The 23722-nt window shown below is 42.3% G+C and overlaps 1 protein-coding gene across 5 annotated transcripts in view; it reads right to left on the bottom strand.

The window, feature by feature from the left end:
• The window catches only part of CMPK1 (cytidine/uridine monophosphate kinase 1), a 45050-nt gene that overhangs the window by 10471 nt on the left and 10857 nt on the right, over nt 1–23722 (bottom strand). The window contains exon 2 of one of the 5 annotated variants that reach the window (NR_046395.2): nt 9494–10071. The exons of the other annotated variants lie outside the window; for them this stretch is intronic. The gene's annotated coding sequence lies outside the window, so the exon portion shown is untranslated. Of the gene's footprint in view, nt 1–9493; nt 10072–23722 lie in introns of those variants that run through there. 5 annotated transcript variants of the gene reach the window in all.

The raw sequence follows: 23722 nt of genomic DNA, 5'->3' as shown, positions 1-23722 counted from the left end.
TACAATAAAGAAGTTTTGCTTGTATATTAAATAATAAAGAAAAATTTAAGATATTTCCCATAATCCAGTTTGCTTAATGGATATCTTTATTCTTCATAGCTATAATGTTCAGATAAATATATCCTGGCTGGGCGTAGTGGCTCACACCTGTAATCCCAACAATTTGGGAGGCTGAGGTGGGTGGATCATGAGGTCAGGAGTTTGAGACCAGCCTGAACATGGTGAAACCCCATCTCTCTAAAAACACAAAAATTAGCCAGGCATGGTGGTGCATGCCTGTAATCCCAGCTACTCAGGAGGCTGAGGCAGGAGAATCGCTTGAACCCGGGAGGCGGAGGTTGCAGTGAGCTGAGATCGTGCCACCGCACTCCAGCCTGGGCGACAGCGAGACTCCATCTCAAATAAAAATAAAAAATAAAAAATAAATTTAAAAATTAGCTGGGTATGGTGATTCATGCCTGTAGTCCTAGCTACTTGTAAGGCTGATGCAAAAGGACTGTTTGAGTCTGGGAGTTTAAGGTTGCAGTGAACCGTGATTGCACCACTGCCCTCCAGCCTGGGTGACAGAGCAAGACATTGTCTCAAAAAGTGAAAAAAGAAAAACAAAAAGAAAAGCTTCTTCTTCCACATAAACTTGCAAGTTCCTTTTTATTAAAAGAATCATACAATTGATTTTAAAAATGCTTTTACTCTCAAATATTAAAGACACCAAGATAACTATATTTATCGCTCAGTTACAACAACCATATCATCCCAAATTCTTAAGACTCCCTCAATGGAGTTTTCATTTTATCCAAGTATACAATAAATATGTGATAAATTAAATGTTATCTTTAGCTTCGATGTTAAGATTTGAGGCAGCCCACACTCCCAACCCCCTTTTTAAAGAGTATTTCAACGGCACATTTTACAAAAGCAACTCTTTCAATTACCCAGGTTATGGTGAGTTTTCTGTTTTCGGATTACAGAAGCCATATATATTCTTTACTCCTTTTCTCATTCCCGAAATTGCTGGTTAAATTTGTTCTTGCTTACTAAATAATAAGTTAACGGTAAGGTAGTCAGCAAATGAAAAGAAAACTCTAAATAGTTTATTTGCTGACTATAATTGAGTATAAAGTTTGATGAGAATAAACAAGATCCTAATATCATCCATGTCTCTCTGTCATATAGGACCTTCCATTAGAAGAAATGGTCAGGCTGGGCAAGGTAGATCATGCTTGTAATCCTAGCACTTTGGGAGGCTGATGCAGAAGGATGGCTTGAGCCCAGGAGTTCAAGACCAGCCTAAGCAACACAGACCTCATCTCTATTAAACTTTTTTTTTAAAAGAAAGAAAAAAAGGCTGGGTGCGGTGGCTCACACCTATAATCCCAGCACTTTGGGAGGCCAAGGCGGGTGGATCACCTGAGGTCAGGAGTTTGAGACCAGCCTGGCCAACATGGCGAAACCCTGTCTCTACTAAAAATACAAAAAATTAGCCAGGTGTGGTTGCAGGTGCCTGTAATCCCAGCTACTCAGGAGGCTGAGGCAGGAGAATCACTTGAACTCAGGCAGCAGAAGTTGCAGTGAGCCAAGATCACACCACTGCACTCCAGCCTGGGTGACAGAGTGAGACTCCATCTCAAATAAAAATAATTATTATTATTATACAGTTTGTCAAAAAGAAAAAACAACCTTACCTGCAAAGTCCAAGGAAACAAAGAATTCAAATGAATATAAAGATGTCAAACCTATACACATGTGTCTCATGTTCTCACCCACATTCCATTTTTGTAAATTCTCTATTTACCAGTTTTTTATACTATATTTTTCTTAAGGATTTTGCTAATAATGCTTTCCTCTTACCACAGTTGCAGCAACAACAAAAAAGCAACTATCACTTACATATAAGTTATTATGGTATTTTAGTAACAGCTAGACTTTAAAGAGCATATTTTCAAAGCATTCTGCTGTCATTAAGTAATCACTGAAGCCAGTTTTGAGGAAAGCAAGAATAGATATTTTCCAGTCTTAACCAAAACTTTTTCACATTCTCTGAAATTTCCTTGCAATTAAAACTTAGTGGGTAACTAACAACAGTCTTAAAAGCAACACTCAAAACCATAGCAACTTACAAATACTATAACTACAATTACAAGCTACTATTGAACTAAAAATCGTGGCTTTTTGTTGTTGTTGTTCAGACAGGGTCTTGCTCTGTCGCCTAGGCTGGAGCACCATCTCTGCTCACTGCAACCTCTGCTTCCCAGGTTCAAGCAATTCGCGTGCCTCAGCCTCCCAAGCAGCTGGGATTACAGGCGTGCACCACCATGCCTGGCTAATTTCTGTATTTTCAGTAGAGATGGGGTTTTACCATGTTGGCCAGGCTGGTCTCGAACTCCTAACCTCAGGTGATCTACCCACCTCGGCCTCCCAAAGTGCTGGGATTACAGGCATGAGCCACCATGCCTGACCTAAAGATAGTAATTTTCTAGTGACAAATATATAAACTCAATTCATTTAGAATAAGTGCCTAAAATTTTAACTGAAATTTTTCCTTTAAGAAGTTGAAAAACAATTCAATAACCTTTACGGATCATGCACTAAGATTTGGAGGGAGAAAAAAGCACCATGTTCACAACAAGTACAAAATGGTACTCTATTTTACTACAACTAGGCAAATGTTGACAACTTTATGGGGTCAAATATCAAACCATCTTGTTCAATTTCTCTCACTTTTTTTTTTTTTTTTTGAGACAGGGTCTCACTCTGTCACCCAGATTGGAGTGCAGTGGCACGATCTCAGCTCACTATAACCTCCACCTCCTAGGCTTAAGCAATTCTCCCACCTCAGCCTCCCGAGTAGCTGGGACTAGTGGTACATGCCACTGCATCCAGCTAATTTTTGTACTTTTTGTAGAGATGGGGTTTTGCCATGTTACCCAGGCTGGTCTCAAACTCCTGGGCTCAAGCAATCCACCTGCCTCAGCTTCTCAAAGTGCTGAGATTACAGGCATGAGCCATCCCAACTGGCCTAACTTATCTCATTTCTTAGCAACTGCATCTCTCCTAAATTCAGAAAACAACGAAAACACAAGACAAAAAAAAAAAAAAAGATCTTCAGGGTACAAATGATGCACAAATGGCAAGTCTTTGAAGGCAGGAAGAGATCCAGATGCCAGGCACTTCCTCCCATTAATGTGGCAATTAGAAATTGCCACTGAACTGCTACTGAGCTTCTCTTGCATTATAGAGGGAACATAGCAGAGATATTAAATACAAATGTATTTTTAAAGCAACTGAAGTGAATTAAAACTATTGGGTACGGCCAGGTACAGTGGCTCACACCTGTAATTCTAGCACTTTGGGAAGCCAAGGTGAGAGGATTGCTTGAGGTCAGACGCTCAAGACCAGCATGCGCAACACAGTGAACATGTTTCTACAAAAAATAAAAACATTTGCTGGGCAAGGCTATGTGCACCTGTAGTCCCAGCTACTTAGGAGTTTGAGGCAGGAGGAAAACTTGAGCCCAGGATGTAGTGAGCTATGATCATGCCACTGCCCTCCAGCCTGGGAGACAGAGCAAGACTCTGTCTCTAAAAAACAAAACAAAACATATATAAATTCACATAATGTATAATATATAAATTACATTTTCATATATTATATATTATACAATTTATATCATAACTTATGGCATATAATATATAAAATTTATATGTAATATAGTATATAATTTATATTATTATATATTAAAAATATAAATATATGGCTGGGCATGGTGGCTCACACCTATAATCCCAGCACTTTGGGAGGCTGAGGCGGGTGGATCACCAGGTCAGGAGATCAAGACCATCCTGGCTAACATGGTGAAACCCCCGTCTCTACTAAAAATACAAAAAATTAGCCAGGCGTGGTGGCAGGCGCCTGTAGTCCTGCTACTTGGGAGGCTGAGGCAGGAGAATGGCGTGAACCCGGGAGGCGGAGCTTGCAGTGAGCTGAGATTGCGCCACTGCACGCCAGCCTGGGTGACAGAGCAAGACTGTCTCAAACAAACAAACAAAAAAACCAAACCAAAACAAAACAAACAAACAAAAAATATATATATAAAACTATTAGGCGTCCTTTAGATTTACATCTATGAAGCATCGAAGACTAAGGTTATGTTGCATTCTCCATAAGACTACTAAACCTTAGAATCTTTTTTTTTCTTTTGGCCATGAACCCATATCTAAAGGCAGATCCTTAAAATCTAAATGCTGGTTATGTGCTGTCAACAATCCACCTTCACCCAAACACCCCAAAATGCTGCAGGTACTATGGGGGGAGGTCATCCAGATGCACCAGTCTGGTACCTGCTGCAAACAACAGCTTTAGAGCCCACAACATCCCAGCAACACTTTATGTAAGTCTATTATCTGTTTCAAAACATTTTTTTTCCTTTTAGACGGAATCTCGGTCGATCACCTAGCCTGGAGTGCAGTGGCGCAATCCTGGCTCACTGCAACCTCTGCCTCCCAGGTTCAAGCGATTCTCCTGCCTCAACGTCCCGAGGAGCTGGGACTATAGGTGCCCGCCACCACACCTGGCTAATATTTGTATTTTTAGCAGAGATGGGGTTTCACCATGTTGTCCAGGCTGGTCTTGAACTCCTGATCTCATGATCCGTCAGCCTCGGCCTTCCAAAGTGTTGGGATTACAAGCGTGAGCCACCGTGCCTGTTTTTTGTTTGTTTGTTTATTTGTTTTTGAGGCGGAGTCTCACTCTGTTGCCCAGGCTGGAGTGCAGTGGTACAATCTCGGCTCACTGCAACCTCCACCTCCAGGGTTCAAGCGATTCTCCTGCCTCAGCCTCCCAAGTAGCTGGTACTACAGGCGCCCACCACTGCAGCCGCCACCATGCGCAGCAAATTTTTTTGTATGTTTAGTAGACAGTTTCACCATGTTGGTCAGGCTGGTCTTGAACTCCTGACCTCAAATGATCCACCCGCCTCGGCCTCCCAAAGTGCTGGGATTACAGGCCTGAGGCACCACACCCAACCTCAAAACAGTTCTAATAGTACTTTTACCAGTTACAGACAATCTCTAACTTCGGATGGTTCAATTTAGGATTTTTCGACTTTACAATGGTGTGAAAGCATACACATTCAGTACACTCCTCATTTATGATGGGGGTTACCTCCAAATCCATCGTAAACTGAAAATACTGTATTGTAAGTTTAAAGCACACTTTGACTTACTACATTTTCAACTTACAATGGGTTTTCTGGGACACAACCACATTTTAAGTTGAGGAACATCTGTAATATAAATAAGACATATGATAAGGATTTTCCAGAAAAAATACTTGCCATCCCTGGGGAACTTACTTTCCTTTGACTGTAAGAATACACTGCCCAGATATTTACTGGCCAACTTTTTAGAATTCCTTCCAGTCCCACCCATAGAGGTTGGAAAAAAGGGTTTTTCCTATAATCACTCTTAAAGGAAGCTTATCATTAAGAAAAAAATATCTAGTGGGAGAAAGCTGAGTATAATATCTGACTTAAATTGCTAGTGGATTCCTAATCTCATTTTTAGTTTGCTCTCACAGTATTTGTAAATGTGTGCATTGCATTTGACCATGCATATTTCATCGCAAATCCACATATTAAAGTATGGAAGTTCTCAACGAAGCTAAATATTTTCTTAAGTAGAAAGCTTTTGCAGATAACCTCCAAATTAGCATGAAGCATGTTTCTTTTTCTAATAAAGAGTAATATTTTAAATTAGCCAGGCGTGGTGGCATGTGCCTGTAATCCCAGCTACTCAGGAGGCTGAGGCAGGAGAATTGCTTGAACCCGGGAGGCGGAGGTTGCAGTGAGCCGAGATCGTGCCACTGCACTCCAGCTTGAGCAACAAGAGTGAAACTCCATCTCCAGGCTGGGCGTGGTGGTTTATGCCTGTGATCCCAACACTCTGGGAGGCCAAGTCGGGCGGATCACCTGAGGTCAGGAGTTCAAGACCAGCCTGGCCATGGTGAAACCCTGTCTCTACTAAAAATACAAAAAATTAGCCGGGCGTGGTGGTGTGTGCCTGTAATCCCAGCTACTGGGGAGGCTGAGGCAGGAGAATCGCTTGAACCCAGAAGGCGGAGGTTGCAGTGAGCCAAGATCGTGCCACTGCCGTCCAGCCTAGGCAACAAGAGCCAAACTCCGTCTCGAAAAAAAAAAAAAAAAGGCCGGGTGCTGTGGCTCACGCCTATAATCCCAACAATTTGGGAGGCCAAGGCAGGCGAATCACCTGAGGTCAGGAGTTCAAGACCAGCCTGACCAACATGGAGAAACCCCATTTCTACTAAAAATACAAAATTAGCCAGGCATAGTGGCGCATGCCTGTAATCCCAGGTATTCAGGAGGCTGAGACAGGAAAATTGCTTGAACCTGGGAGGCGGAGGTTGTGGTGAGCCAAGATCGCGCCATTGCACTCCAGCCTGGGCAATAAGAGCAAAACTCCGTCAAAAAAAAAAAAAAAAAAGAGTAGTATTTTAAAAGCTTATATCCTAGAAAGGAGAAAAAGGAAGGATATAATCCATTCAATTGCAGACAATTACAACATTTTCCTCAATGTTTTTCCCTTGTGATCTGAAAGACCAAAATAGACATCCCTTTATCAACTAAGATGGACCCTAAGGTTAAGGAAACAAAAGTTGCTTACAGGTCCGGGGCTCAGGGCCTGGCTGACATGGCAAATTTCTAAATTCCTACGGCTACAAGAAAAAATCACACTCTTGCAAATTATCAGACCCCTCCTAACTCTGATTTACAACCCAGACCACTGTAACTGTGATTGGACAGAGGACCAGCCTCAGAAACATTCTTTTCTGATATGCAGTTGCAGATCTTAAGCCAGTTTCAGCCACTTTATAGAGGTTGCACACAAACTTGTCTTTGTGTCCTATAGTTCGCCTTTGACCTAAAGAGCCAAATTCCACCTTATTTTATTTATGTATTTATTTTTGAGATAGAGTCTTGCTCTGTCGCCCAGGCTGGAGTGCAGTGGCGCGATCTCGGCTCACTGCAACCTCCGCCTCCTGGGTTCAAGTGATTCTCCTGTCTCAGCCTCCAGAGTAGCTGGGATTACAGGTGCGCACCACCATGCCCAGCTAAGTTTTGTATTTTTAGTAAAGACAGGGTTTCACCATATTGGCCTGGATGGTCTTGATCACTTGACCTCATGATCCACTGGCCTCGGCCTCCCAAAGTGCTGGGATTACAGGTGTGAGCCACCACGCCCAACAAGTCCACCTTATTTTAATGCTAAAAGCCCACCCCAAAATGAACATGGGATGTATGTTACATATGTTTACCCATTGCACATGTGCCCAATTCCCCTCATAAATATGTATAGCTTTTCTCCCAAACCAGCTTCATATTTAAGACTACTATATAATATTAAGCCCTGTGAAGCATAAAACCCAACCTGCCCATCTCCTCCTCAAAGATGGAGCACAATCTATGCCAGGGACTCTCTCCCCAGTATGCAAACTGATATCACCAATAAAGCTCTTCTTTCTACTATGTAGCCATCCTGGTGGTCTTTTGGATGACAATATTCATGTAACAAAACCTTAATTCAGGCAACACTTCGACTTACTGTAAATCCATAAATATTTGCTGTCTACAAAGTGCCAAGCAATGTGCTGACACAGAGGAAGGAAAAGGGTTATATTAACAAAGGATGCAATAGTGACTTGCATCTATAAAATGACTTGAGCCTCACTACTAATTAATAAAAGTAATTCTCCATATTTGCATAACTTAAAGTCTTTATGACTTTAATGACTTGATGATTGTCTGCTTGGGGAAGCTGATTCTTCAGAAGCAATGGCAAGAAAATAGAATAAATAAAACTTAAGAGTGAGTTAGAAGCCACTAAACAGATTGTTTCCTCATCTATGTAAGGCCTGGATGTCCCTCTAACATTTTACGGATGGCTTCTCAGATAATAGAGGATTATAGCATCTGATTTATATGCCAAATGGACCCTATAGGAAACGTAAACTGGAATTTTCACACTTTAATTTTATTCTGTAATTGGTCAATTCCAGTATTTTTATTTCTTTTAATTCATCTCAGCCATTTTGAATCAATTTGCATTCCCTACATTAGAAGGAATGGAAAATGGTCAAAGATGGAGACCAGGCTTAGACACCTTCAGGGAGTCCAGGAGCTCAGAGGCAATAATTTGAAAACTTCCAGCATTAATGGATAGGCACAGGGGTCTTGTTACTCTTAGGAAACGCTCACTTAGTCTTGTTAATTAAATGATAAATTCTTATTGTCACTGTAGAACATACAAGTTACATACTCATCTTATTTCTAGGAAGAAGCAATATCTTAAGAAGTCTCTCATGTATCACTACAACCTAGATATTGTTGCAGGTGGTCTAAAAGCCTAGGAATCAGTTAATTCAGTTCTTAAGAGAATACCTGGAGAAAGGCACACAGCAAAGGTAACATGGATCTTTGTATACATCAAATCACTCAGATGAAGGCCTAGCCTCTCCTACTTCTCCTTATAAGATAAAGGTTTCAGGCTGGGTGTGGTGGCTCACACCTGTAATCTCAGCCCTTTGGGAGGCTGAGGCAGGTGGAACACTTGAGGTCAGGAGTTCAAGACCAGCCTCTCCTATTTCTCCTTATAAAAGAAAGGTTTCAGGCCAGGTGTGGGGGCTCAGGTCTGTAATCCCAGCACTTTGGGAGGCTGAGACGGGTGGATCACTTGAGGTCAGGAGTTCGACACCAGCCTGGCCAACATGGTGAAACCCCATCTTTACAAAAATACAAAAAAATTAGCCAGGCGTGGTGGCGGGCACCTGTAATCCCAGCTACTCAGGAGGCTGAAACAGGAGAATCACTTGAACCCAGGAGGCAGAGGTTGCAGTGAGCTGAGATCATGCCTTTGCACTCCAGCCTGGGTGACAGAGCAAGACTTTATCTCAAAAAAAAAAAAAAAAAAAGAAAAAAGGTTTCTTAACAACCACTAAACAGGCCACACTGTACTTCTTTCTTATTTTTTATTTTTTTTTAGAGATGGAGTCTCCCTCTGTTGCCCAGGCTGGAGTGCGGTGGCGCGATCTTGGCTCACTGCAAGCTCTGCCTCCCAGGTTCACGCCATTCTCCTGCCTCAGCCTCCCGAGTAGCTGGGACTACAGGCGCCCGCCAACATGCCAGGCTAATTTTTGTATTTTTAGTACAGGCAGGGTCTCACCATGTTAGCCAGGATGGTCTCGATCTCCTGACCTCGTGATCCGCCCACCTCGGCCTCCCAAAGTGCACGGATTACAGGTGTGAGCCACCGCGCCTGGCCTGTACTTCTTTCTTATTATAAAAAGGTAAATAACATTAAAATGAGAATATCATTTGCCTAAGGAATTTCAAAAGCAAGAAAGTTGGCCCAAAAGATTCAACTGCTTGAAAATGCAACATGTAAAGATCCTCTTCATGAAATAATCACATTTTAGTATCTCAGGTGCTCTTTAGGAACTAGAATTTATTTGAATTTAAGAATCAACACCAGAAAAATGTACAAAGGAGACAGAATCCTAAATAATAATATTAAGCAAACATAACATTTGAGCATTTGCAAAATTATCAAACTAATGGGGAAATAAATTTGGAGAAACACAAAGAACTCAGCAAAGATCACAAGAACCTGAACCTTACATGAAATCACACACTCAGAACACTGAACTAGAGTGCTTAAGGTTTTATAACTAAAACTAAAGTTTTATAACTCTGTCACAACCCAGTGTGACAGTGGGTAATTTGTTTAATCTTTCTTAGATCTGTTTATTTATAAAACAGAAATAATATGTATGCTACCAAAAATGACATCTACACATACTATACTATACTAACAGCCACAGCAAAATATCATTATTAGATGTTACAACTAGAAGAATCTCTTGAAGAACAAACTTCTAAAAACAGGGACTACGCACTGTGGCTCATGCCTGTAATCTCAGCACTTTGGAAGGTCAAGACGAGAGGGTTGCTCGAGGCCAGGAGTTTGAGATCAGCCTATGCACCATAGCAAGATGTCATCCCTACAAAAAATGGAAAAATTAGCCTGTCATGGTGACGTGCACCTGTAGTCCTGGCTACTCGGAAGGCTCAGCCAAGTGGGTAGCTTGAGCCCCAGGAGTTAGAGGCGGCAGTAAGCTATAACTGTACCACTGCACTCTAGCCTAGGAAACAGAATGAGACTCTGTCCCTTAAAAAAAAAAAAAAAAAAAAAAAGACCTACTATGACAGCACTCAAGATAGGTCAGAGAAGAGATAGACAAACTCATACAGGTTACTCCTAGACCAAAGTCCAAAATAATCAGTGGCTTAACTACAAATTACACGCCGATAGAGGAACAGAAATACCAAACTGGCTCAATATCAATATTATGTGCTATGGTTTGAACGTGCCCCAAGTTCCTGTGTTGGAAACTTGATCCCTAATGTGGCAGTGTTGGGACGTGGGGCCTAATGAGAGGTGTTTGGATCATGGAAGCCCCACCCTCAAGAATGGATTTCTGCTTGGATTGTATTTGACATAAAAAACAACAGATTGGCCGGTGCAGTGGCTCACATCTTTAACCCCAGCACTTTGGGAGGCTGAGGCAGGTGGATCACCTGAGGTTAGGTGTTGAAAATCAGCCTGACCAACATGGCGAAACCCTGTCTCTACTAAAAACACAAAAATCAGCCACGCATGACGGCGGGTGCCTGTAATCCCAGCTACTCAGGAGACTGAGGCAGAAGAATCGCTTGAACCCGGGAGGCAGAGGTTGCAGTGAGCTGAGATCACACCACCGCACTTCAGCCAAGGCAATAGAGCGAAACTCCGTCTCAAAAGAAAAAAAAAAAAAAAGAATCCATTAATGCCATTATCACGTTATCACAGAGTGGTTTCCTTGTAAAAGGATGAGTTTGGCTCCCATCATGGGATGATACAGTGAGAAGGCCCTCACCAGATGCTGGTGACATTTAGGAATAAATGTAAAACTAAATGTGTAAGAATTATATGAAGAAATTAAAAACACTTTAGTGTAAGACAAATAAAATCAATATCATAAAAAGAAGGCAGGGCTGGGCGCGGTGGCTCACGCCTGTAATCTCAGCACTTTGTTTGGGAGGCCGAGGCAGGCAGATCACCAGGTCAGAAGATCGAGACCATCCTGGCTAACACGGTGAAACCCCATCTCCACTAAAAATACAAAAAATTAGCCAGGTGTGGTGGCGGGTGCCTGTAGTCCCAGCTACTCAGGAGGCTGAGGCAGGAGAATGGCGTGAACCCAGGAGGCGGAGCTTATAGTGAGCCGAGATCGTGCCACTGCACTCCAGCCTGGGCGACAGGGCAAGACTCGGTCTCAAAAAAAAAAAAAAAAAGGCAGACCAGGTGCGGTGGCTCATGCCTGTAATCCCAGCACTTTGGGAGATGAAGGCATGCGGATCACTTGAGGCCAAGAGTTCAAGACCAGCCTGGCTAACATGGTGAAATCCCATCTCTACTAAAAATACAAAAATTAGCCTGGCGTGGTGGCACACATCTCAGATCCCAGCTAGTTAGGAGGCTGAGGCACAAGAATTGCTTGAACCTGGGAGGTGGAGGCTGCCGTGAGCCTTGATTGCACCACTGCACTTCAGCCTGGGTGACAGAGCAAGACCCTGTCTCAAATAAATAAATAGAAGGCATTCTGTATTACTAGATAGAAAAATTCATACTGTAATTATTCAGTTTTCCACAAATTAATCTATAAACTTATGGCAACTTTAAGCAAACTTTGATTGGCATTTGTCTTTTTGGTTTGTTTTAAATGAAACTTGGTAAGTTGACTCTCAAACTTATCAGAAAGAGTAAATGTGAGTGAATGGCCAAAACTGAAATAATATTAATAACTACAAATGAGGACTTGTCCCTTTTGTGACATAAGATTTTATAAAACTACAGCAAGTAAAACAGGGTGGTACTGGTATAAAAATAGACAAATAGAACAATGAAACTCAAGGGACTCCAGAAATAGACCCAAGTATAAATAAGAATTCAACAAGTAATAAAAGCACCTAAAATAGGTGCTTTTATTTATTTCTATTTAGTAAATGATACTTGTGCAACTGGCTATCCATCTGGGAAAAAATAAAATTAGATCTCTGCATTACACTACAACAAAACTAAACGCCAGGTGAATTAAAGTTCTAAAACACAAAACAAGTAAAAACCCTATGACAGTACTAGAGGAAAATAAACTGAGATAGGAAAAGACATCTTGCTTGGCACTAAACAAGAACCAAAACAGCTAGGATTTATGTTTGACCACATTAATAATAAAAACTTTTGAACAAAGAAAGGCATCATAAGTATAATCAGATAATAAGTAACAGCCTGGAGGAAAATATTTTCACTATACAAAGGTGATGGGATACTATATATTGCATATAAAGAGATTCTGGCTGGGCGCGGTGGCTCACACCTGTAATCCCAGCACTTTGGGAGGCTGAGGTGGGCTAATCACCCGAGGTCAAATTCAAGACCAGCCTGGCCAACATAGTGAAACCCTGTCTCTACTAAAAATACAAAAATTAGCCAGGTGTGGTGGTACATGCCTGTAGTCCCAGCTACTTGCGGGGCTGAGGCATGAGAATCATTTGAACTCGGGAAGCAGAGATTGCAGTGAGCCAAGATTGCACCACTGCACTCCAGCCTGGGCAACAGAGCGAGACTCTGTCCCCCCAGAAAAAAAGGCCGGGCATGATGGCTCACACCTGTAATCCCAGCACTTTGGGAAGCTGAAGCGGGTGGATTACGAGGTCAGGAGTTTCAGACCAGCCTGGCCGATATGCTAAAACCCCGTCTCTACTAAAAATACAAAAATTAGCTGGGCATAGTGGTGCATGCCTGTAGTCCCAGCTGCTTGGGAGGCTGAGGCAGAAGTGAGCAGAGATCACATCACTGACTCCAGCCTGGGTGACAGAGTGAGACTCTGTCTCAAAAAAAAAAAAAAAAAAAAGACTGGGCATGGTGGCTCATGCTTGTAATCTCAGCACTTTGGGAGGCCAAGGCAGGCGGATCACCTGAGGTCAGGAGTTCAAGACCAGCCTGGCCAACATAGCGAAACCCTGTCTCCACAAAAATACAAAAATTAGCTGGGCATGACAGTGTGTGTCTGTAATCCCAGCTACTTGGGAGGCTGAGGCGGGAGAATTGCTTGAACCCAGCAGGCAGAGGTTGCAGTGAGCTGAGATCATGCCATTGCACTCCAACCTGAGCGACAAAGATTCCATCTCAAAAAAAAAAGACAATGTGATTCCATTTTCCACTGGATTAAAAGTAAAAATTTTATAAAACTAATGTTCATAAAATTAATATAAAATAAAATGTTATATTCAGCAATGGTAAGAATATGGAGAAACCAGTATCTTCATACTTCATAGAAGTATAAATCAGTTCAGTCTTGGGCAAATTATTTAAGTTTATTCAATCCAAGTTTAAGTTTGCTCAAACTTTGACTCAGTAATTCCATTTCTAGGAGTTATGGCACTGTTGCACATGTGCACAAAGACATATGTACATGAATGTTTACAGCAGTGTCTTTTGTAAACAAATGTCTATGTCCACCAAAACAAATCTAAACTTCCACCAATATAGGAATGGCTAAGTAAACTATTGTGCATATTATGAAGTAGAACTATCTGTATGTTCCGATATGGAACGCTCTCCAAGATACACTGCTAAGCAAAAAAAAAAAAAAAAAAAGCAAGTCACAAAACAATAAGCACTATGTGTATGTGCATACACATGTGCATTATATCTGAGTACAAATACATCCAGAAAGGCACGCACGCAAAAACCTGACAAGTGATTACATAAGGAGGGTAGGATGAGATTAAAGAGAACTTTCATTTTTTACTTTGTGTACTTCCAAAATTGTTTGAATTTTTTTTACAATATACACATATACATATAAACTTTAAAAATTTTAGTTTTAAAAAAGTATGCACTATCCATACATCTTTATCTATCTATTGAGGCAGTGTCTTGCTCTGCTGCCCAGGCTGGAATACAGTGGCACAATCACAGCTCACTGCAGCCTTTACCTCCTGGGCTCAAGTGATCCTGCCGCCTTAGCCTCCCGAGTAGCTGGGACTACGAGCATGCCATCATGCCTGGCTAATTTTTTCATTTTTTTATTTTTTGTAGAGATGGGGTTCACTATGTTGTCTAAACTGGTCTCAAACTCCGGGCTCAAGCAATCCTTCCACCTTAGCCTCCCAAAGTGCTGGGTTTACAAGACTGAGCCACCATGCCCAACCTATACATCTTTAAAAAGTAAATATCAGGCGAGGCGCAGTGGCTCACGCCTGTAATCCCAGCACTTTAGGAGGCCAAGGGAGGAGGATCACCCGAGGTCAGGAATTCGAGCCCAGCCTGGACAACATGGTGAAACGCCATCTCTACTAAAAATACAAAAATTAGCCAGGCATGGGGGCGGGTGCCTGTAATCCCAGCTACTCAGGAGGCTGAGGCAGGAGAATTGCTTGAACCTGGGAGACCGAAGTTGAAGTGAGCCAAGATCACGCCACTGCACTCCAGCCTGGGTGACAGAGTGAGACTCCATCTCAAAACAAAAGGTAAATATCACAAGGAAAGACTGATGATTTAAATGTTTTATTAACATCAAATCCTAAGAGCACAGCAAAATAAAATTCAGTTGTCTCACATGAAGTAAGGATAAGAATCCCAATATAAAAACCACCATATGGTATTAAAAAAAAGGGAAACAGTACCTGCACAATCAAAAACTTATCTAAAATTTAAAACTAAATCATGATAGAGAATAGCAGCTCTGGAGACATATTGGTGAACTGCTCTAAATACAAAAATCAATTCAAGTGTTTAGATAAAAATTTTTCTGGAAAGTGATCCACTCCTTAAACAAAGGAGAAACAAAAGTATAATATAGTAACACAGAAACACACTGCATGGGCATGAAGAGTTACAGGGGACAGAAAACAGTCCAGTTTTATAGCCTAGAAACAGAAGGAAATTTAGAGACATACTCAGTTGAGAGGATCCATAAGGTACAGCAGCAAAAGTTTAAAAGGAAACATATTTCAATGAAGCTCTACTCCAGACATTTGAGTTTAAAATTATAAGCAAGATATTCTAGAAATGCCACTTCTATGGCATAGACAATATAAGCATACTACTCTTAGTCTCCAAAATAACCCATTGGAGCACTTTCATAACTTTATTGTGCCAAGTAACCTCTCTTAATTGACTTTTTAGAAAAACATCAATCACTGCTTAGATAACAAAGAATCACCTTCATTGTTACTCCAATAACCTGTGCTAATAGAAGTGTGAGAGAAATCATCATTTGGCTTGAAAAGTAGTAATTTTTTTTAAATTTTGGTATAAAATTTACCTTCATAAGTATATTTTGCTCAATCTAAAATTAAAGTCAGTTTAGTGATAATACATTTTTAAACAATATCGCAATCAAACCACAGCCCAGCATGGGATTTAATGATGACCATAAATAACTGTACCCATTTCTATAATGTACAGCAGACTACATGGGCCTCTTGGTTCTTGATTAGAGCCTAACTTCATCAAGGAAAATGACCTAAGAAGTGGTAATCTTATGGAAAATTTTTCCATATTTTTTTCCTGTCATGACTACACAATAGAAAAAGCACTGAAAACCATTTACAAAATAGGTGACTTTTTGCTTAATGGGCATCCCACTAATCTGATTTAATTAACTTGAACTCAATTATGCCCTTGAACTGGTCAAAGAAGTAATGAGAATCTGTGACCCCCTATCCCTCCCCACCTTCCTTTCCATTTACCACTACCCCGTCTCTTTCCCACTCCCAACTCGTGGCACTATATAGATACCAGTTACATCTTTATTTTTGTAGTTTTGGACTAGCTTATCAGCCTTTTTAATCTCTGCACCATAGGCAATAGAAAGCATACTGGATGTTCTATTGTACAAGATGTAAGATCTCCTCAAAATTTAAAACATTTTACTTTAAAGAAATACCACTACCAAGAAAATAAAAGACAGCCCACAGGATGGGAGAAAATGTTTATAAATCATACATCTGGATTAGGGGCTTATCTTTGAAATATATAAACTCTTACAGCTCGATAAGAAGATATATAACCCAATTAAAAGACATCTTTTTATTTTTATTTATTTACTTTTTTGAGATGAAATCTCACTCTGTTGCCCAGGCTGGAGTGCAGTGGCGCAATCTCAGCTCACTGCAACCTCCGCCTCCTGGGTTCAAGCAATTCTCCTGCCTCAGCCTCCCTAGTAGCTGGGATTACGGATGTGCAACACCATGCCCAGCTCATTTTTTGTATTTTTAGTAGAGACAGGGTTTCACTACGTTGGTCAGGCTGGTCATCAACTCCTGACCTCAAATGATCCACCTGCCTTAGCCTCCCAAAGTGCTGGGATTACAGGTGTAAGCCATTACACCCGGCCAAAGACAATTTTTTAAATGCACTATTCTGAGGAGAAAAAAAAACAAAAAACCCTTCACACCTACTAGAATGGCTATAATTTTAAAAACAACAACAAAAACAAAAAAAATAAACATTGGTGAAGATGTGGAGAAACTGGAACCTTTGTATACTGCTGGTGGATATGTAAAATGGTGCAGCTCCTGTGGAAAATAGTTTAGTGGTTCCTTAACAAGTTAAACACAAAATTACCATGTGACTCAGCAATTCCATTTCTATGTATATACCCCAAAGAACTGAAAACAGACTCAAACAGATACTTGAACACCAATCACTGCAGTATTATTCACAGTAACCAAAGGTGGAAACAACCTAAGTGTCCATCAACAGATGAATGACTAAGCACAATGTGCTGCATACATATAATGGAACATTATTGAGCCATAAAAAGGAAGTTCTGATACATGCTAACATGGAGGAAGCTTAAAAACATTATGGGCCAGGCGCAGTGGCTCACACCTGTAATCCCAGCACTTTGGGAGCTCGAGGCAGGTGGATCACAAGGTCAGGAGATCGAGACCACCCTGGCTAACACAGTGAAACCCCATCTCTAATAAAAATACAAAAATTTAGCCAGGCGTGGTGGCATGTGCTTGTAGTCCCAGCTACTTGGGAGGCTGAGGCAGAATCATTGAATCTGGGAGGCGGAGGTTGCAGTGAGCTGAGATCGTGCCACTGAACTCCACCCTGGGCAACAAAGCGAGACTCCGTCACAAACAAACAAACAAACAAACAAAAATTATGTTAAGTAAAATAAGCCAGACACAAAATGACAAGTATCATATAATTCTACTTATATGAGGTACCTAAAATAGGCAAACTCGTAGAGACAGTAGATTAGAACTTACCAGGAGCTAGGGAAGGGTGGGGGATCTGTATTTTCCAATTTTTCTTTTCTTTTTTTTTTTTTGAGACAGTCTCACTTTGTCGCCCAGGCTGGAGTGCAGTGGCGTGATCTCGGCTCAATGCAACCTCTGCCCTCCCGGGTTCAGGCAATTCTCCTGCCTCAGCCTCCTGAGTAGCTAGGATTACAGGTGCGTGCCACCACGCCTGGCTAATTTTTTCTTTTCTTTTTTTGCATTTTTAGTAGAGACGGTGTTTCACCATGTTGATCAGGCTGGTCTCGAACTCCTGACCTCGTGATTCGCCCACCTCAGCCTCCCAAAGTGCTGGGATTACGGGCATAAGCCACGGCACCTGGCCTGTATTTTCCAATTTTTCTATAATGTACGCACACTCTACTTTAAATAAGAGCAACCAAAATAGCTGGGCACAGTGGCTCATGCCTGTAATCTCAGCACTTTGAGAGGCTAAGACAGGCAGATCACTTGAGCCCAAGAGTTCAAGACCAGCCTAGGTAACATGGTGAAACCCCACCTCTACCAAAACAACACCCCCTCCCCAACCTCAACCCATAAATTGGCCCCAAGTAGCTGGGACTACAAGCTTGTGCCTGTAGGCTGAGGTGGGAGAATCACCTGAGCCCGAAAAGTAGAGGCTTCAATGAGCCATGATCATGTCACTGCACTCCAGCCTGGTGACAGCGCAAGGTCCTGTCTCAAGAAAAAAAAACAGTAGGTGGAGCATGGTGGCTCACACCTGTAATTCCAGCACTTTGGGAGGCTGAGGCAGGCAGACTGTTTGAACCCAGTAGTTCGAGACCATCCCGGGCAAGACAGTGAGACCCTGTTTCTATATAAATAATAATAAGGCTGAGCAAGATGGCTCATGCCTATAATCCCAGCACTTTGGGAGGCCGAGGTGGGCGGATCACTTGAGGTCAGGAGTTTTAGACCAGCCTGGCCAACATGGCGAAACTCCATCTATACTAAAAATACAAAAAATTAGCTGGGCGTGGTGGCGCGTGCCTGTAATCCCAGCTACTTAGGAAGCTGAGACAGGAGAATCACTTGAACCGGGAGGCGGAGATTGCAGTGAGCCGAGATTGCGCCACTGCACTCCAGCCTGGTCAACAGAGCGAGACCCTGTCTCAAAAAAAGAAAAATTAGAAAGTTGGGCAACAGAACAAGACCCTGTCTCCAAAACAAACAAACAAACAAACAAACAAGAACATTTAGAAAGTTGGCCCTAATAGCACATTTCTTAAAATTTTTTAATTAAAAATACACACAAGCAACTGTTACATTTCAAAAAGCTTTCCTTTTCTCAACTTTATAGGTGCAATGTTACCACTGTGAAGTTCTAGATGAACATGAAATAAAGGAATTTATTAAACATAATTCCTTGGTGCTCCAACTCGTACGCTACAGAATAGCAAAGAAGGCACACATATTCATAGTAACTGGATATTTTGCCTTTTGGGTGTGACTATATTGGGTTATATGCTATCTAACACAGAAGTTTTGAGGTACAGATCTGTTTTGGAGCTGGTAAGACCATCTACTCCTCTATACGCTTCGTTTTACAAAAGGGGAAATTGAGATAAGCTGACTTGCCAGTTACTGGAAAGAAATCTGGCACTTGAATCCAGGTCTCCTCACTCTCAATAACTCTATTATTCCACAACAGGCCTCTGAGGTAATTCCTAGGTGACCCATATGGAGATGCAGTCTTTCGTCTTCAAGCTACTATGGCCATTGAATAACAGAATCTACTGGTGGGAGTTAAAGAAGAAACTCAAAGTTGATCATTTTGTTATGTCCTGGCTTGCAGATGAGATCAGAAACTTTATCCACACACAGAAAGCTAGGCATATTTGACCCACCTTGATTCAGCCTGATTCTGACCATCCTTCTTGCTTCCTTTGCTTCCTCCTTGCCTTTCCCCACTTCTGAAACATTACCATTTCCACTTTTCACTTCCCTTGCCCTTCAAATGATACATAGCAAGGAAAAACTCTATTTGAAAACCTAAATTAACCATTAAGTCAACACCCAATTATACAATCAAAACATCTTTGCTGTCTCTATACTCCCAGTAGGCACCAAGAAAATGAAAATTCATGTTATTACCTAACTAAATCATACATAATTATACAGGTAAAGCTTGTGGGTTAAATTAAACATGTAACATTTTCCAATACCAATCAATGACTAACACATTCTGGAAGCTCCAAACACAAAGTGGGTATGGAAACAGACTTTTGTGTAGCCCCAAATTAGGCATATTCAATTGCTTGTTGACATAGGATACATTCCAACGGGGAATGGAACCAGCTTATGGGTCTTCTGGAGAAGACTGATGGAAACCAGGCATGGAAGAACATGTTTCATAGGACCCAGTCCCTCAAAGTGAAGGCCTCTGAGACTAGTAAGTAACAACTGGTGCTTTTTCCTTTACCAAAGTGATGGTTTGTTAACTTTACGCACCAGGCAGCATAAAACTGTCAGCAAACAGTATGTCTGTCACACCTGTTCCCTATTAAAGTTCTAAATGCTCTTATCACATGTTTAGTCTGTAAAAATGTTCTTAATTTGTCAGATTAAAGCAACTAAAATGTAAGAGCAAACACATTTTCATATGGCAATTGGGCTAAAAGTATTAGCTTTAAGGTAGTAAGAATCAGTGTGACTAGGCCAACATGAAACAAAAAAATAAGACATCAAAATATATGTGCTGTCTCTATACTCCCAGCAGAGTCCCCATCCTTTCTCTCTCTTACCTGGACAAAAAGTCCCACTACTAGATTGATTTCTCTAATCCTCTGGATTTCAATTCAGAAAGCTACCCGTTAAAATACTGTACTCCTACGTGACTTTTGGAGGTCTTCAGTGATTACAATCCTTTTGCATTAGCATCTAAACTGGAATGTGGTACAGCAAATTCACAATAGTGCCCTGGGTTTAATTTTTTAAAGGAAACACAGCAATAGTCAATGTGACACTAAGTGAACACAAGATAGTTAATTTTCAACTTAAGATCATGGACCGGGCACGATGGCTCACACCTGTAATCCCAGCACTGTGGGAGACTGAGACAGGCAGATCACTTGAAGTCAGATGCTCGAGACCACCCTGGCCAACATGGTGAAATGCCGTCTCTACTAATAATAAACAAAAATTAGCCAGGCATGGTAACGGCGCATGCCTGTAGTCCTAGCTACTCGGGAGGCTGAGGCAGGAGATTCGCTTGAACCTGGGAGACACAGGTTGCAGTGAGCTGAGATTGCACCACTGCACTCCAGCCTGGATGACAGAGTGACACTCTGTCTCAACAACAACAAAAACCAAAAACAACAACAACAAAAAGATCATGGCACATTCCTTTCAATTACATCATATCTTTGTGAGGCTGATTTTATGGGCTATTGCTGTGATAAAAACAAGTATCACATGAAAATTAATGTGGGACAGGCACAGCAGCTCATGCCCGTAATCTCGGCATTTGGGGAGGCCGAGGCAGGAGGATGGCTTGAGGCCAGGAGTTCAAGACCAGCCTGGGCAACATAATGAAACCTCTCTCTACAAGAATTTTAAACATTAGAGAGGTATGGTGTGATGTGCCTGTAGTCCCAGCTACTCATGAGGCTGAGGTGGGAGGATGGCCTGAGTCCAGGAGTTGGAGGCTGCAATGAGCTATGATTGTGCCACTGCACTCCAGCCTGGGCAACAAAGTGAATGAATGAGAGAATGAATGAATAGAAGGAAGGAAAAAAGGAAAGAAGGAAGGAAGGAAAGAAGAAAGGAAGGAAGAAAGGGAGGGAGGGAGGGAAGGAGGGAAGAAAGGAGGAACAGAAGGAGGAAGGGAAAGAAAGAAAATAAAAAAATAAAATAGGCCGGGCACAATGGCTCATGCCTATAATCCCAAGACTTTGGGAGGCCGAGGCGGGTGGATCATCTGAGGTTAGGAGTTCAAGACCAGCCTGGCCAACGCGGTGAAACCCGTCTCTACTAAAAATACAAAAATTAGCCGGGTATGGTGGCGGGCGCCTGTAATCCCAGTTATTTGGGAGGCTAAGGCAGGAGAATCACTTGGGGAAGGGAAGGGAAGGGGAGGAGAGGGGAGAGGAGTGAGGAGGAGAGATGGGGAGGGGGAGAGGAAGGCAAACAAACGGGCCGGGCACGGTGGCTCATGCCTGTAATCCCAGCATTTTGGGAGGCCAAGGCAGGCAATCACCTGAGGTCTGAGGTTCGAGACCAGCCTGGCCAACATGGTGAAACCCCGTCTCTACTAAAAATATAAAAAGTAGCCAGGCATGGTGGCGCACACCTGTAGTGCCAGTTACTTGGGAGGATGAGGCAGGACAATTGCTTGAACCCAGGAGGCCGAGGTTGCAGTGAGTTGAGATCGCACCATTGCACTCAAGCCTGGGCGCCAGAGTGAAACTCCGACTCAAAAAAGAAAAAAAAAAGAGAGAGAGAAAGAAAAGAGACAGGGAGATAAAATTAATAAGAAATGCAGGTGGAAGTGTCCAATATGATTCCAGCGTATGAGAAACAGTACACAACAGGCATATACATTTCATTAGTAAGTGTGGTTACTTAAGAATGAAATTAGGCTGGGCGCAGTAGCTCATGCCTGGGAGCCACTTTGGGAGGCCAGCACTTTGGGAGGCTGAGGCTGGCGGATCACGAGGTCATGAGTTCGAGACCAGCCTGGCCAACATGGTAAAACCCCGTCTCTACTAACAAAACAAAAATTAGCCGGGCGTGGTGGCGGGCACCTGTAGTCCCAGCTACTCAGGAGGCTGAGGCAGGAGAATCTCTTGAACCCGGGAGGCAGAGGTTGCAGTGAGCCAAGATGGAGCCACTGCACTCCAGCCTGGGTGACAGAGTGAGACTCTGTCTCAAAAACAAAACAAAACAAAAAAAAGGCCAGGCATTGTGGCTCACACCTCTAATCCCAGCACTTTAGTAGGCCAAGGTGGGTGGATCACCTGAGGTCAGGAGTCCAACCAACATGGTGAATCCCCATCTCTACCAAAAATACAAAATTAGCTGGGCATGGTGGCACATGCCTGTAATCCCAACTGCTTAGGAGGCTGAGGCAGGAGAATTGCTTGAACCTGGGAGGTGGAGGTTGCAGTGAGCCAAGATCAAGCCATTGCACTCCAGCCTGGACAACAAGAGGGAAACTCCATCTCAAAAGAAAAAAAAAAAGGCCAGGTGCAGTGGCTCATGCCTATAATCCCAGCACTTTGGGAGGCCGAGGTGGGGGGATCACGAGGTCAGGAGATTGACTAAAAATACAAAAAATTAGCCGGGCGTGGTGGTGGGCACCTGTAGTCCCAGCTACTTAGGAGGCTGAGGCAGGAGAACGGTGTGAACCCAGGAGGTGGAGCTTGCAGTGAGCCAAGATCGTGCCACTGCACTCCAGCCTGGGCAACAGAGTGAGACTCTGTCTCAAAAAAAAAAAAAAAGAAATTAAATTGCTACTTTTTTTCTCCTAATTTTTTATCCTAATTTCTATGTATCATTTCTTCAAACAGCTACTAACTTGTTAGAAAATACTTCTTAAGTATTGTTTAGACCTAATTACTTACTTAATATAGCTGTTAGGTATTTCTTTTGCACTAGAGTTTCTATGAAAAAAAAAAACTGAGACACTAAGGGCATCATAAACTGAGAACGTTTGAGAGTCTTTAAGCTAAGATCTGAAGGATGACTAAGGCATTTCAAAAACCATGTAGTAGAATGAAGGCCAGGCGTGGTGGCTCACGCCTGTAATCCCAGCACTTTGGGAGGCTGAAGCAGGCGGATCACCTGAGGTCAGGAGTTTGAGACCAGCCTGAGCAACATGGTGAAACCCCATCTCTGCTAAAAATATAATAAATTAGCCGGGCATGGTGGTGCACGCTTGTAATCCCAGCTACTCAGGAGGCTGAGGCAGGAGAATCGCGTGAACCCAGGAGGCAAAGGTTGCAATGTGCCAATATCGCACCACTGCACTCCAGCCTGAGCAACAGAGCCAGAGTCCTTGTAAAAATAAATAAATAAATAAATGAAAAACGTGTAGTGAAATGAGAGGGAAAAGACAGGGTCCCCACCCTTAAAGACATTACACTCTAGTTAGGGAGGCAAAACTAAAAGATAAACAATTTTGAAATAATTTACAGTTAGGCCGGGCATGGTGGTTCACACCTGTAATCCCAGCACTGTGGAAGGTGAGGCAGGCAGATCACCTGAGGTCAGGAGTTCGAGACCAGCCTGGCCAACATGGTAAAACCCCATCTCTACTAAAAATACAAAAATTAGCCAGGTATGGTGGTG

This window comes from Homo sapiens, chromosome 1 (genome assembly GCF_000001405.40).
Source record: "Homo sapiens chromosome 1, GRCh38.p14 Primary Assembly".
In the NCBI taxonomy this organism is placed as follows: Eukaryota; Metazoa; Chordata; class Mammalia; order Primates; family Hominidae; genus Homo; species Homo sapiens.
This window is presented reverse-complemented; position numbering and strand designations above follow the sequence as displayed.